The following is a 12,335-nucleotide window of genomic DNA, read 5'->3' as shown; positions in this document are numbered from 1 at the left end:
AGAACTTTGGAAAGGATGGGAAGAAAAGGTATTGAAATTGTTAGCACCAAGCTTATTTTTGGCTTGTCTTATAATTTTTCCCAAGGAAAGTCATTGCCTTGTCATAGTGATGCCATTTCCAAAGGACACCATTTTTGACATGTTCAAAAATTGGTGTCTGACACAATTTCCCCATCCTGTGTTTTACTGAGGGCGTTACCATCTGCCAGCTACCATGCCAAACACATTACACACACTGTCTCAATCCCCACTATAGCATGATGAGGTAAGTGCTACTTTACTTAACAGGTACTTACATGATGCTTATTCTGCACTGTATTAAGCATTTCTACAAATTTTAGCTCATTTAATCTTCACAACCACCCTCTGCTATAGGTACTATTATTTCTCATTTTACAGATCCAGAAACTGAGATACAAAGAAATTAGTTGACTTGCCCAAGACCCCCACAGCTAGTAAACTGGGTAACACAAATTTGTGTTCAGGCCTGCTAGCTCCCGAGTCAGCACTCAAAACCACTGTTGTATATGATATTATCCTTATCAGTAAGGAAATAGAAGCACAGAGAATATCTTGACCAGAGTCACACAGGCAATAAATAACAGACTCAGATTTAGGCAGCCTACATGTAGGACCTACAGAACTCAAGTCGTACATCATTCTGTAAATCTTCTCTACTTTGATCACTCATTCCTCATACTAGGGTGTTAGCCTAAAGCAAGAGCTACACACATGCTTCTATCTCTATACGGATTCCACTGTGTCACTTAAGATAAAGTAATAATAAGACTAGAAAGGGAAGAAATTAGCTTTATCACTTATTTAGCTTACTGTCTAATTTTCTTTGATTCTGAATAGATTTTTGAGTTGTGACTTATTATGACAACATTAAATCTTTGATAGTTGTCAGTGTCAAAAGCAATCTTAACCTCATCTGGAGCAGTGTTTCTTTAATGAGCCAAGGGATTACCTGAAGATTTTGTTAAAATGCGGACTCTGATTCAACAGATCTGGATGGGCCTGAGACTCTAGCAAGCTCCCAAATGATGCTGATGCTACTGGAACATAGTCCATATTTTGAGTAGCAAGAATTGAGCATTCACTGAGTTTTTAAACCGAGCTTAAAGATGTATCCTAGGGCCCATCAAATGGGAAGGAGAGCATTTTTATAGACAGAGGAACATATAGGAAGTTTGGGAAGGGCAAACACCAGGCCAAGGGGATGGCTCATGAGATAAGAGCTGAGCTACACAGATTCTCCAGATTAGAAGGGTTTTCAGAGATCATCTGGTCCAATCATTACTGATGACTATCACAATCCTTTCACATTCCTGTCAGGTCATCTCAACCCTTGAGTTAATAAATTATGGGTGGTGAATGGAACTGGACATTCAACAGAACCAGAGAAGTTTCAAGATGATGCCTGAATCACAGAACCAATCTAAGAGCAAAAGACTAGGGAAAGAGGCTGTGATATCTCACTCTGTCTGGGTAGACATTTGCCACCATAGTACATTTTTCAGAGCCTTTAGATATTTATTCAAAAACTTTTTAGACCTTACCATTTCATAATAAAAAAAAATGCTACTGTACCAGTGAATCAGCTGGAAGTACTTATTCCCCCAGGCATTTGCCTCCCACTATAAAATAAAGATTCAGTGCTGACTGGCAGGTGAGAAACAGTGACAGATGTGTGGCAGCTGGGCTGCTTCTTGGCTGTCCTGACTATACATTTCAGGGCCCTTGAGACAACAGATATTTTCAAGGATCAGGAAGCATGGGATAAAGACAAGGTTCTTTCCATTTTGATTTTGCAACCAAACCAAAAGACACTCAATGTATTGCTGAGTCCTCTGATTAGGGGGATGCCAACTTCTCATAATCATCCTTTCCTCAGGCTGTCATTTGACAGTTCTCTGCTTTCTTTTTCAGGTGCCAGGGGAGAGCAAGAAACAGTGGAAACCAGCCCTGGTTGTGCTGACTGAGAAAGACCTTTTAATCTATGACAGCATGCCACGGAGGAAGGAAGCCTGGTTCAGCCCAGTTCACACATACCCTCTTCTTGCCACCAGGTAGCCATGGCCTTGTGTTTGGTATGATGTGTTTGCAGGTGGATTCTATTTAATGAATTACAATTAGCTCAATACGTTATATTACTGCTCACTATTGCAGCAGGGGCTGAGAGCTCCTTAAGAATATAGCCACACATTTTTAGCCACATAGATTAATGATCATTTATGGCCAAACATGAAGCAACAACACAGAGACAAAGAACAAAATACCGTCCATCATCAAGAAACAGTGACATCTGCGAGATGGTCCTCATCTAGCCGCCTTCCTGGGTCTCCATCTCATTCCCTTTGAAATGAACTGGACATATGTGTTTATAGTCTTGAAGTCCAAGTAGAATCACCAAGCAAGGGTCTTCACTTAGTGGCACAAAAGAATGTTATGTGGGAATGCTCCACTGTGCTTTTTAAGGCTTGTTCAGCAGGAAATCTCATAACAAGTTATTTCTCAGTTCCATGACGCTTCCTGTGGAAGGGTGGCTGCCAGGCTCGGTTTTTCAGGTCCTTCAGTGCACATTTATTATTCATGTGAAATATGTCTTTAAAAAGCACTTCATCACGGTATTGACATACAAAGTTATGTACATATTTAATGTATACAATTTGATAAATTTGGAGATAAATATACACCTATGAAACCATCATCATAGTCTATACCATAAACATACTCATCACCTCCAAAAATTTCCTCCTTCCTCTATATTTTATTTTTTGTGATAACAACATGTAACATAAGATCTACCCTCTTAGCAACGTTTTAGGTATATAATACCATGTTGTTAGCTATAGGCGCTATGCTGTACAGTAGATCTCTAGAACTTATTCAACTTGCATGACAAAAATTTCGTGCCCTTTGGCCAACACATCCCCATTTCCCTCTCCCCGCTGGAAACCACCATTCTACTCTCTGCTTTAAGAGCTTCGTCATTTTAGATTCCTCATATAAATGGGATCCTGTAGTGTTTGTCCTTGTGTGTCTGGCATATTTCACTTAGCATAATGTTCTTCAGGTTCATTCATGTTGTCAAATATGGGAGAATTTCTTTTTTAAGGCTGAATAATATTGAATTATATGTAAATACCACACTTTCTTTATCCGTTCATCTATAGACGGACCTTTAGAGGCATCACACTTCCTGATTTCAAACTGTATTACAAGCCTATAATAATCAAAACCTTATGATACTGGCATAAAAACACGGAGACCAGTAGAACAGATTGGAGAGCCCAAAAATAAATTCACCCATTTGTGGTCATCTGATTGTTGACAAGGGTGCCAAGAATACACAATGGAGAAAGGATATTCTCTTCAATAAATGGTGCTGGGAAAACTGGATATTCATATGCAAAACAATGAACCCTATTTTACACCATACACAAAAATAAACTCAAAATGGATAAAAGACTTAAAGGTAAGATCTGAAACTGTAAAACTTCCAGAAGAAAACATAGGGAAAAATATTCTTGACATTGGCCTTGGCAATGATTTATTGTATATGACACCTATAGCACAGGCAACAAAAGCAAAAATAAATAAATAAATGGAACTACATCAAACTGGAAAGCTTCTGCATAGCAAAGGAAACAATCAACAAAATGGAAAGGCAACTTACAAAATGGGAGACCTCATATCTAATTAAAGGTTAATATCCAAAATATATAAAGATTTACATTTCAATAGCAAAAAAAGAAAACTGATTCAAAAAGAACCTGAATAGACATTTCTCCAAAGAAGACATACAGATGTCCAAAAGGTGTTTAATGTCACTAATGATCTGAGAAATGCAATTCAAAACCACAGTGAGGATGTGCTTAGGATGTGTGTTAGGATGGCTATTGTCAAAAAGACAAATGATAATGAGTGTTGTTTATCATTTGATAAATGTGAACCCTTGTACACTGTTGTTAGGAATGTAAAATGGAGAAAAGGAAATCCTTGTATACTGTTGATAGGAATGTAAAATGGTGCAGCCACTCTGGAAAACAGTATGGAGATTTCTCCAAAAATTAAAAACAGAATTCTAATGTGAGCTAGCAATCCCACTTCTGGGTCTATATCCAAGAGAACTGAAATTAAGGTCTTAAAGAGGTAGTTACGCTCCCATGTTCATTGCAACATTATTCACAGCAACCAAGACATGAAATACAGCTTGATTTTTAATTATTTATTTTTGAGACAGAGTTTCACTCTTGTCACCCAGTCTGGAGTGCAATGGTGCTATCTTGGCGCACTGCAACCTCTGCCTCCCGGGTTCAAGTGATTCTCCTACCTCAGCCTCCTGAGTAGCTGGGATTATAGGCGCCCACCACCACGCCCGGCTAATTTTTGTTTGTTTGTTTGTTTTGTTCGTTTTGTTTTTTTAGTAGAGACAGGGTTTCACCATGTTGGCCAAGCTGGTCTTGAACTCCTGACCTCAGGTGATCTTCCTCCCTCGGCCTCCCATAGTGCTGGGATTATGGACGTTCTTCTCAACCACTGCACCTGGCCTGAAATAGTTTTAATGTGTTGTATCCTTGTCCCCCTCTTTGAAAGCTTATATCCCAAAAACAGAAATGAATCAAACTCAAGTCTTGCTTTCAAGTAGCTGACATTTCCCAGGCCTGACTTCTCTTGCCAGCTCTTTTTGTTTGTGCTTTATGACAGTGAGCTGTTTGTATTCCTTCTACACCTGTTTCTTTACCTGCAAGCTAGGCATGATAAAGTCATATTTGTGTCCTTCCTGGCACAGTGCCTGGCAATATTGTGCCCTTGAATGTCTGTTGAATGAATTATTGAACAATGTGAGACAAACTCTGGAAGAAGTTTGGTCCAAGAGACAAAGCGTAGTGGACAGAGGTTTTGGAGCATCTGACCTGAGCAAGATGTAGACAGAAATAAGGTGGGCTCTTCATCTAGGAAGGACTGAGCTGCCAAACAGGTTATGGTCAAGGGTCAGCTGGCTGCAAGGAGGAGAATGAGACCCAGTAGCAGAGCAAGAATTAACACAAGATTAAAATGCCAGTAGTGAATAGAGCTGAAATTCCAGAAAAATCCTTCTTACTTCCAGTCATGATTGATAATGAAGACCAGCAGCGGGGGTGGGGCCGGGGAGGTGGGGAGCTAAAGATGGAAATTATTGGCTCCAGAGGTGAATAGAGGAGGTTTTCAGGGGTGAGGAACCAGGCCTAGATCACCTTTAAAAAATAAAATTTAAAAGTAATTTAATATTTGAAGCTTTCAAGCTTCAAAATGTTTGGCAGAATGGCTACTAAAGTAAAATACAGCTTTGTAATAAAACTGCAGTAATCATGGCCGGGTATGCTGGCTCATGCCTGTAATCCCAGCACTCTGGGAGGCCGAGGAGGGCAGATCACCTGAAATCAGGAGTTCGAGACCAGCCTGACCAACATGGCAAAACCCCATCTCTACTAAAAATACAAAAATTAGCCTGGTGTGGTGGCACACAACTGTGGTTCCCAGCTGCTCAGGAGGCTGAGCCAGGAGAATCACTAGAGCCTGGAAGGCAGAGGTTGCAGTGAGCTGAGATCACACCACTGCACTCCAGCCTGGGTGACAGAGTGGGACTCTGTCTCAAAAAAAAAAAAAAAAAAAAAAAAAAAAAAAAAAAACCCTCAATAGTCAGAATGTAAACATCCTTAACTGCACACAAAGACTCAGGCTGTGCCTTGGGGTCCATGAGAATTCGGCCCAATCGCTATTGCTTTCTGTACTTTGCATCCACAGTCCTCATCCGTGAACATTATCTTCAGATTCTGAGACATTCCCGCAACAGAAACCAAAGAAAGATTAGACCACAGTCACTGGATTCCAGTTACTAAGAAGCAAAGTTGGACCCAAGCATCTTGAAATGATTCTCAGAAACAAAAGTTGAAATAAGGTAGTTTCTGCAACTCTCAGGCAACATGAAAATAAAATTTACCCTCGTACATAGCCTTGTTCTCACAGTTTCTGGGCATTATGAACAATGGGGACTGCTTTTTCATTCATTCATTCATTCATCAGTCAACATTTATAAATCATCTACTATGTGCCAGGAGTTATAATTGGGACAAGGGATAAAGAGGTGAAAAAAATTCAAACTTGTGAACCTAGCATTATCTGGAACAAAGTGTGTTGATGTGCAGGAACACATAAGGAACCATTTGCAGTAAAGACAACAAAAAATGCCAAACTCTGCCTGGACAGTGGTGGAGGACTCCTTGCAGTAGAAGTCATGTTGAATTGAAGCCTGAGGGAAAACTCACCAGAGGAACAAGGGAAGGGAGCCCAGAGAGGGGCATGAGCATTCCAGACTTAGGGAAGATCCAAGCACAGAGCTCGTGCACTGCTGCATGGCCCAGTTAGAGCACCACATACGGCCCTGGGGAATGAGGGGAAATGAATCAGATACTCACTAAGTACCCAGCACTTGACACAAGTTACCACTTACAACGTGTGTATCCATTCTGCAAGGCCGGTATTAGTGTGCCCATTTTGCAGATTAGGTACCTGAGGCTCAAAAGAGTTCAGGAATCACCCCAGGTGGTGTAGCTTCTGAGAGATGGAGGTGGGATTCCAGTTCCGGGACTGTGTGTCACTTGCATACCTGTGCCTTGGTACCACAGGGGGTTGACACAGAGGTGGGAGATGGGGAGGAAGACTTTTCACTAGCGTATCCTTTTCTACCTTTTGAAATTGGAACCATGGGGAACAGCAGGAGTCTTTGGGGATGATAAGAGTCATGGATGTGATCTGGGTAGATATTTTTATATTTGGTGTCAAATAACAAATGTCCAAGGAGTGACTGCTGAATCCAATTTTGCAGTGATCCTGATTCCATTGTAAAGAAAAATAAATAAATAAAAATAAAACCAAATTTCTGTGAGGACACAAAGTACTTAGCTACAGGAAGAGATAAGTTGCTCCCCAGGAGTCTCCCCTCTTTTGGTTTTTTCTCAGCTTTCCTATCCTGTAACCAGGTTTAGCCCTGGGACTTCAACCCCCTGGTAAGATGAGGAGACTGAGAAAGGCTCTGCCTTTGGTCTGGTTCTTCAGAAGCAGAGAAGGCAACAAGGACTGAAGTGGCAGTGAGTTCTTAAGCAAATGCTCCCAGGAGAAGCCTGGAAAGGAGGAGGGGAAGGACAAAAAGAGAGAGGAGCCAAGGAGGCTAGGATTTCAGGCAAAGTCTCAGCCTCAGCCTGACCTTACAGGGGTCTTGAGAGCTAGACTGCTTAGCATGGTAGCCACTAGCCAGATGTGGCTACTTAAAGTAATTAAATTTAAGTGAAATTAACAATTCAGATCCTCACCCTCCTTAGCCATATTTCAAGGGTCCAATAGCCACCTGTGGCTAGTGACTACCATTTCGAACAGCACAGATCTAGAACATCCCCATCACCACCAAAATTCTATCAGACAGCACTTTCCTAGAGCATGTAAATGACTCCTTCCAAGTTTGTCCCGACTCAGGCAAGTGACTGGAGCTGTACATTCCTACAGCAGTCCATGGACAGCTGAGGCTGCCTGGAGGGATGTCGTCTCGCAGGCTCTTCAGGCTTCTGCACAAGCAGGAAAGTCCTAAGTGTGATTCCTTAAAAGCAAAGGCCCAGAAGGAGAGATGGATGTGCAGAAACAGTAAATGGGAACTGAAGAGGTTTGAGTGGAGCACTGAAAGTGTCTGCTACAGGTTCACAAGTGACAGGGGTGCCAGGTCTGAACTGAGAGTAAAGCAGATGAATAGCCTAAACCCATAAGCCTGCATCCAATATGCAAACAGGAAATGGAAACCTCTTCAGTGCATCACTGTGATCATTTAGAATAGAAGATGCGGGCTGGGCACAGTAGCTCACACCTGTAATCCTGGCATTTTGGGAGGCCGAGGTAGGCAGATCACCTGAAGTCAGGGGTTCGAGGCCAGCTGGCCAACATGGTGAAACCCCGTCTCTACTAAAAATACAAAAATTAGCCAGGCATGGTGGTGGGTGCCTGTCATCCCAGCTACTCTGGAGGCTTTGGCATGAGAATCGCTTGAACCTGGGAGGCGGCATTGCAGTGAGCCGAGATCGCGCCACTGCACTCCAGCCTGGGCAACAGAGCAAGACTCTATCTCAAAAACAAACAAGCAAACAAAACAGAAGATGTAGTAAAAAGAAAAAAATCAGTGTCTATGATGCAACCATAAAGCAGACCCAGTTGTAATAGTTGTCCCCTCAACTCACTGTCCCTCTCCCAAATTACCCAGCTTAACCACTGAACTGCAAGAGGAAATCTTATTCTGTGTGGATATTAACCCTATGAGGAATGATACAATTAGGCCTGTAAGGATTGCCCTGGTCTCTGGCTGGTAGCCCATGAGGCAGAGTATGTCCGGGATCTTAGGTGGCACTGGCTATTCATTCTCACTCTATCCTCTCGAAGTAGTAGGTGAGCTTTTGCCTGCTCCTGGGCGGCAGCCTGGAAATGGCAGAGCTGGGAGTTTGCATTCTAGTCTTCCTTCCTCCAGAAGAGTGCTTAACCCCAGCCTCATCACCCCAGCTCCCTCTGTCAGAATCCCTATCTGTGAAACACTCACTGGAATGCCATTGTCTCCAAAGCCAAAGGAAAATATACTTTGGTAAAATAGATTTTTAACTGACCTTTTGGCTTGAGCATCAGCTACCAGAGCATCAGTCCTGATCAACTTCTCTCCAAGACCCTGTGGATGTACCTAGAAAAAGACTTTTAGAAAGCAAACAATGGGAAAAAAATGTCCCCTGCCTTCTCTGTGGGATGATGCCAGGGAGATGTAGCCCCTTTGCAGCTCCAGGCTGAGCTTCCCAATGAATTGCAGTAGGAGGCAGGGTCCACCCCAGCTGAAATAGAAACTCTTATCTCCTTGTGGATAAAGGTGGCTCTCTGAGGTGGGAAGCTGGGCTGATGCTGTTGGTTTCTGGCGGGTTGTGGGGGATGGTCCATGCCAGAAATGGTAGCATTCAAAGGGAAACAGAATCCTTCCATTGCAGAGGTTACCCCAGCACTTCCATTGACTGCTTTTTTAGCCACTTATCTAAGTTCAACAAGTGACTCTTTCATTTACTTCCGATGCATTCTATACAGCCATATACAGCACCGTGTCCTTTATATATGACCACATAAGTATGTAATCTGTCTAGTAGTATTATTTGTCTTTGTATATTTCTAAAGAAGAGGATCCATTCCTGTTTTTAAAAATTTATTTTAAAAATCTTGTATTGAGGTCTAATTTATAAATAGTAATATGCACAAATCATAAAGGTATGGTGTAATTTTTACTTATGGATATAGAGCTATGTTTTTAAAAAATTTATTATACTGTGTCTACTAACTAATCACCTTGGGTAATATTATCAAGAAGGCCATGGTAATATTATTTTCAAAATAGATCAAGCTGGGCTGTAATCCCAGGACTTTGGGAGGCTGAGGTGGGAGGATTGCTTGAGCCCAGAAGTTCAAGACTAGCCTGGGCAACATGGAGGATCCGTCTCTACAAAAAATAAAAAACAATTAGCCATGCATGGTGGTGCACACCTGTAGTCCCAGTGACTTAAGAGGCTGAAGTGGGAGAATTGCTTGATCCCAGGAGATCAAGGTTGCAATGAGCTATGATGGCACCACTGTACTCCAGCGCCTGGGTCCAGAGCAAGACCCTGTCTCTTTAAAAAAAAAAAAAAAAAAGGAGCTCAACCCTGTAATGAAGTAGTGGCTGGCCCTTATTTGGCATAGATCAAGGCTACGTGCTTTAGGTGGATTCTATTAGGGTTTGCAAACCTTGCCCAATATGAGAATTACCTGGCTGTTTATTAAGATTCAGGTCTTCAGAACCCTGCCTTAGATATTCTGGCTTAGGCTGGGGTTGGGGATCAGGAGAATGTGCTTTTAACAAACATCAGGAAAATGTTTCTCAGGGTTACCGCATTCAACCCTCACAACCCCATAAGGTTAAGGTTTTATTCCTATTTCACAGATCAGTTAACTGAGGAACTGAGTAGTTAAGTTACTTACCACAGTCATGCAACAGTAACAGTAAGAGATGGACCTGAGATTCTGTTTCTACCTTTTGATTCTTATCCACTATTCTATGCAGCTTCCTAAGAGCATGTCCTTATTTCCTAGAGTTTCCATGGCTCTTAGAATTGGCTGAGTGTATCATATATAAAAGTTTTCTTTCCTGACAAATAAATCATGCAACAGGTGGCCTCTTATTCCAGCTAACAATCAAGGGAATTGTTACCCCTAATCATGCAAAGTGAGGACAGAGTTGTGGATAGAATCAGAGACCTAGAGTTTCTGGCTTGCCCAGCAGCGGGAACACCATCTGGGACTGTTAAACAAGCAAATGTTCAACTCCACCCCAGACCAACTGAATCAGAAACTCTGGGGATGGGACCCGGTCCATCTTTGATTTTAACAAGCCTCCAGGTGTTTCTGACACAGGCTACAGTTTGAGAACTATTGATTTAGAAGATTGTGTGCTGCTGCCTCCCATCTTCTCAGGGGTTTGTGGTGTGTCCGAGTCCATTTGGGGCTGCTATAACAAAATACCTTAGCCTGGGTAATTTATAAATAATAGAAATGTTCTCACAGTTCTGGAGACTGGGAAGTCCAAGATCAAGGTGCCAGCAGATTTGCTGTCTGGTGAAGTCGTGTTCTCGGTTCCATAGATGGAGCCTGTTGCTGTGTTCTCACGTGGGTGGAAGGGCAAAAAGGGACTAACAGACTCCCCAAGCCTCCCCCACCCTTTTTTTTTTTTTTTTTTTTTTTTGAGACAGAGTCTTGCTCTTGTCGCCCAGGCTAGAGTGCAATGGCGCAATCTCAGCTCACTGCATCCTCCACCTCCCGGGTTCAAGTGATTCTCCTGCCTTAGCCTCCCAAGTAGCTAGGACTACAGGCACCCATGACCACACTTGGCTAATTTTTGTATTTTTAATAAAGACACTGGCTAATTTTTGTATTTAATAGGGACACCACAACCTGTCTCTATTCTGTATTTAATAGAGACACCGGCTAATTTTGTATTTAACACAGACACCACATCTGGCTAATTTTTGTATTTTAATAGGCCACCATGTTGGCCAGGCTGGTCTCGAACTCCTGACCTCAGGTGATCCGCCTTCCTCAGCCTCCCAAAGTGCTGAGATTACAGGCGTGAGCCACCACACCTGGCTCCCCAAGTCCTTTTATAAGGCACTAATCCTATCCATGAGAGTGGGGCCCTCATAACCTAGTCACCTCCTTAAAGGTCCTACCTCTTAATACGTTTGCATTGGAGCTTCAGTTTCAACATGAATTTTGGGGGGACACAGACGTTCAAACCACAGCATGGTGGGTGGGGAACTCCACAGCAACTATGTGGTTCTTCTTACCCCGTGGTTCTTCAGAAGCGCTGTTTGGCCACAAGCTGTGATGACCACCAGTGGATCAGTTCTAAGGCTGTCCTGGGTCCCGGCCCTCACAGAGTGATCAACAGCTCCTAAAATGTGATGTGCTGCTGCCCTTCCTTTTCACTTAGATGACCTTCTAGCATTTTCCCTGGTATTTTGCATTCTTTCCTAGCTTTATTTTCATGGCTGCATAGTGTCCATCACACGAATGCTCCAGAGCGTGGGTTCTGGAAACTGACAACCTGGCTCCGAATCCCAGCCTTGCTACTTACCAAGCCTTGGAGCCTTGGGCGAGTTTTGTAATCTCTTTTTGCCTCAAGTCCTTCATCAGTAATATGTGCCCAATATCTATACGTGCCTAATAGGGTTGTTATAAGGATTACACTAGATCATGTAAACTGCTTAGAATAGTGCTTGACACATGGCAAGTGCTAAATAAATTTAGTATTTTCTAATTTGTTAACCCCTCTTCTATTTTCGGGTTTATAAATACATTGGCTACATTTTTAAAACAACTCCATCACACTGAAAATTTGTAACCAACTAAAATTCACAGGTCATCATTATACCACCTGCTAAAAAAAAACTTTTAAAATCCATCCTGTTAGCAGAAACTAAAAAATTAAGAAATAAGCCAACAAAATGTCTCCAAAAATATCTCCTTAATAAATGGAAGACCATTGGATTTGCTGGTAGAGAGAGAAAACAATGTTTCATCATATCAGATTTGACAGACCTGGGTGCACACTGCAGTTTTGCCCAGGCAAGCCTCAGTTTATGACCACAAGCAAGTGACGTCTTCTCTCTGATCTGTTTCCACATCTAAAAAATAGAATCATAGGCTGGGCGCAGTGGCTCACACCTGTAATCCCAGCACTTTGGGAGGCC

General features: G+C 42.3%; 1 protein-coding gene across 4 annotated transcripts in view; it reads left to right on the top strand.

The window, feature by feature from the left end:
• The window catches only part of SNTB1 (syntrophin beta 1), a 276,291-nt gene that overhangs the window by 234,889 nt on the left and 29,067 nt on the right, over window positions 1-12,335 (top strand). For 3 of the 4 annotated variants that reach the window (NM_021021.4, XM_047422126.1, XM_047422127.1), the window contains exon 4: window positions 1,933-2,072. In NM_021021.4, coding sequence (NP_066301.1) covers window positions 1,933-2,072 — 140 coding nt within the window. Of the gene's footprint in view, window positions 1-1,932; window positions 2,073-5,793; window positions 5,997-12,335 lie in introns of those variants that run through there. The other variant, XM_011517239.3, reaches the window with a different exon arrangement.

The sequence above is a fragment of the Homo sapiens genome, chromosome 8, assembly GCF_000001405.40.
Source record: "Homo sapiens chromosome 8, GRCh38.p14 Primary Assembly".
Lineage (NCBI taxonomy): Eukaryota > Metazoa > Chordata > Mammalia > Primates > Hominidae > Homo > Homo sapiens.
This window is presented reverse-complemented; position numbering and strand designations above follow the sequence as displayed.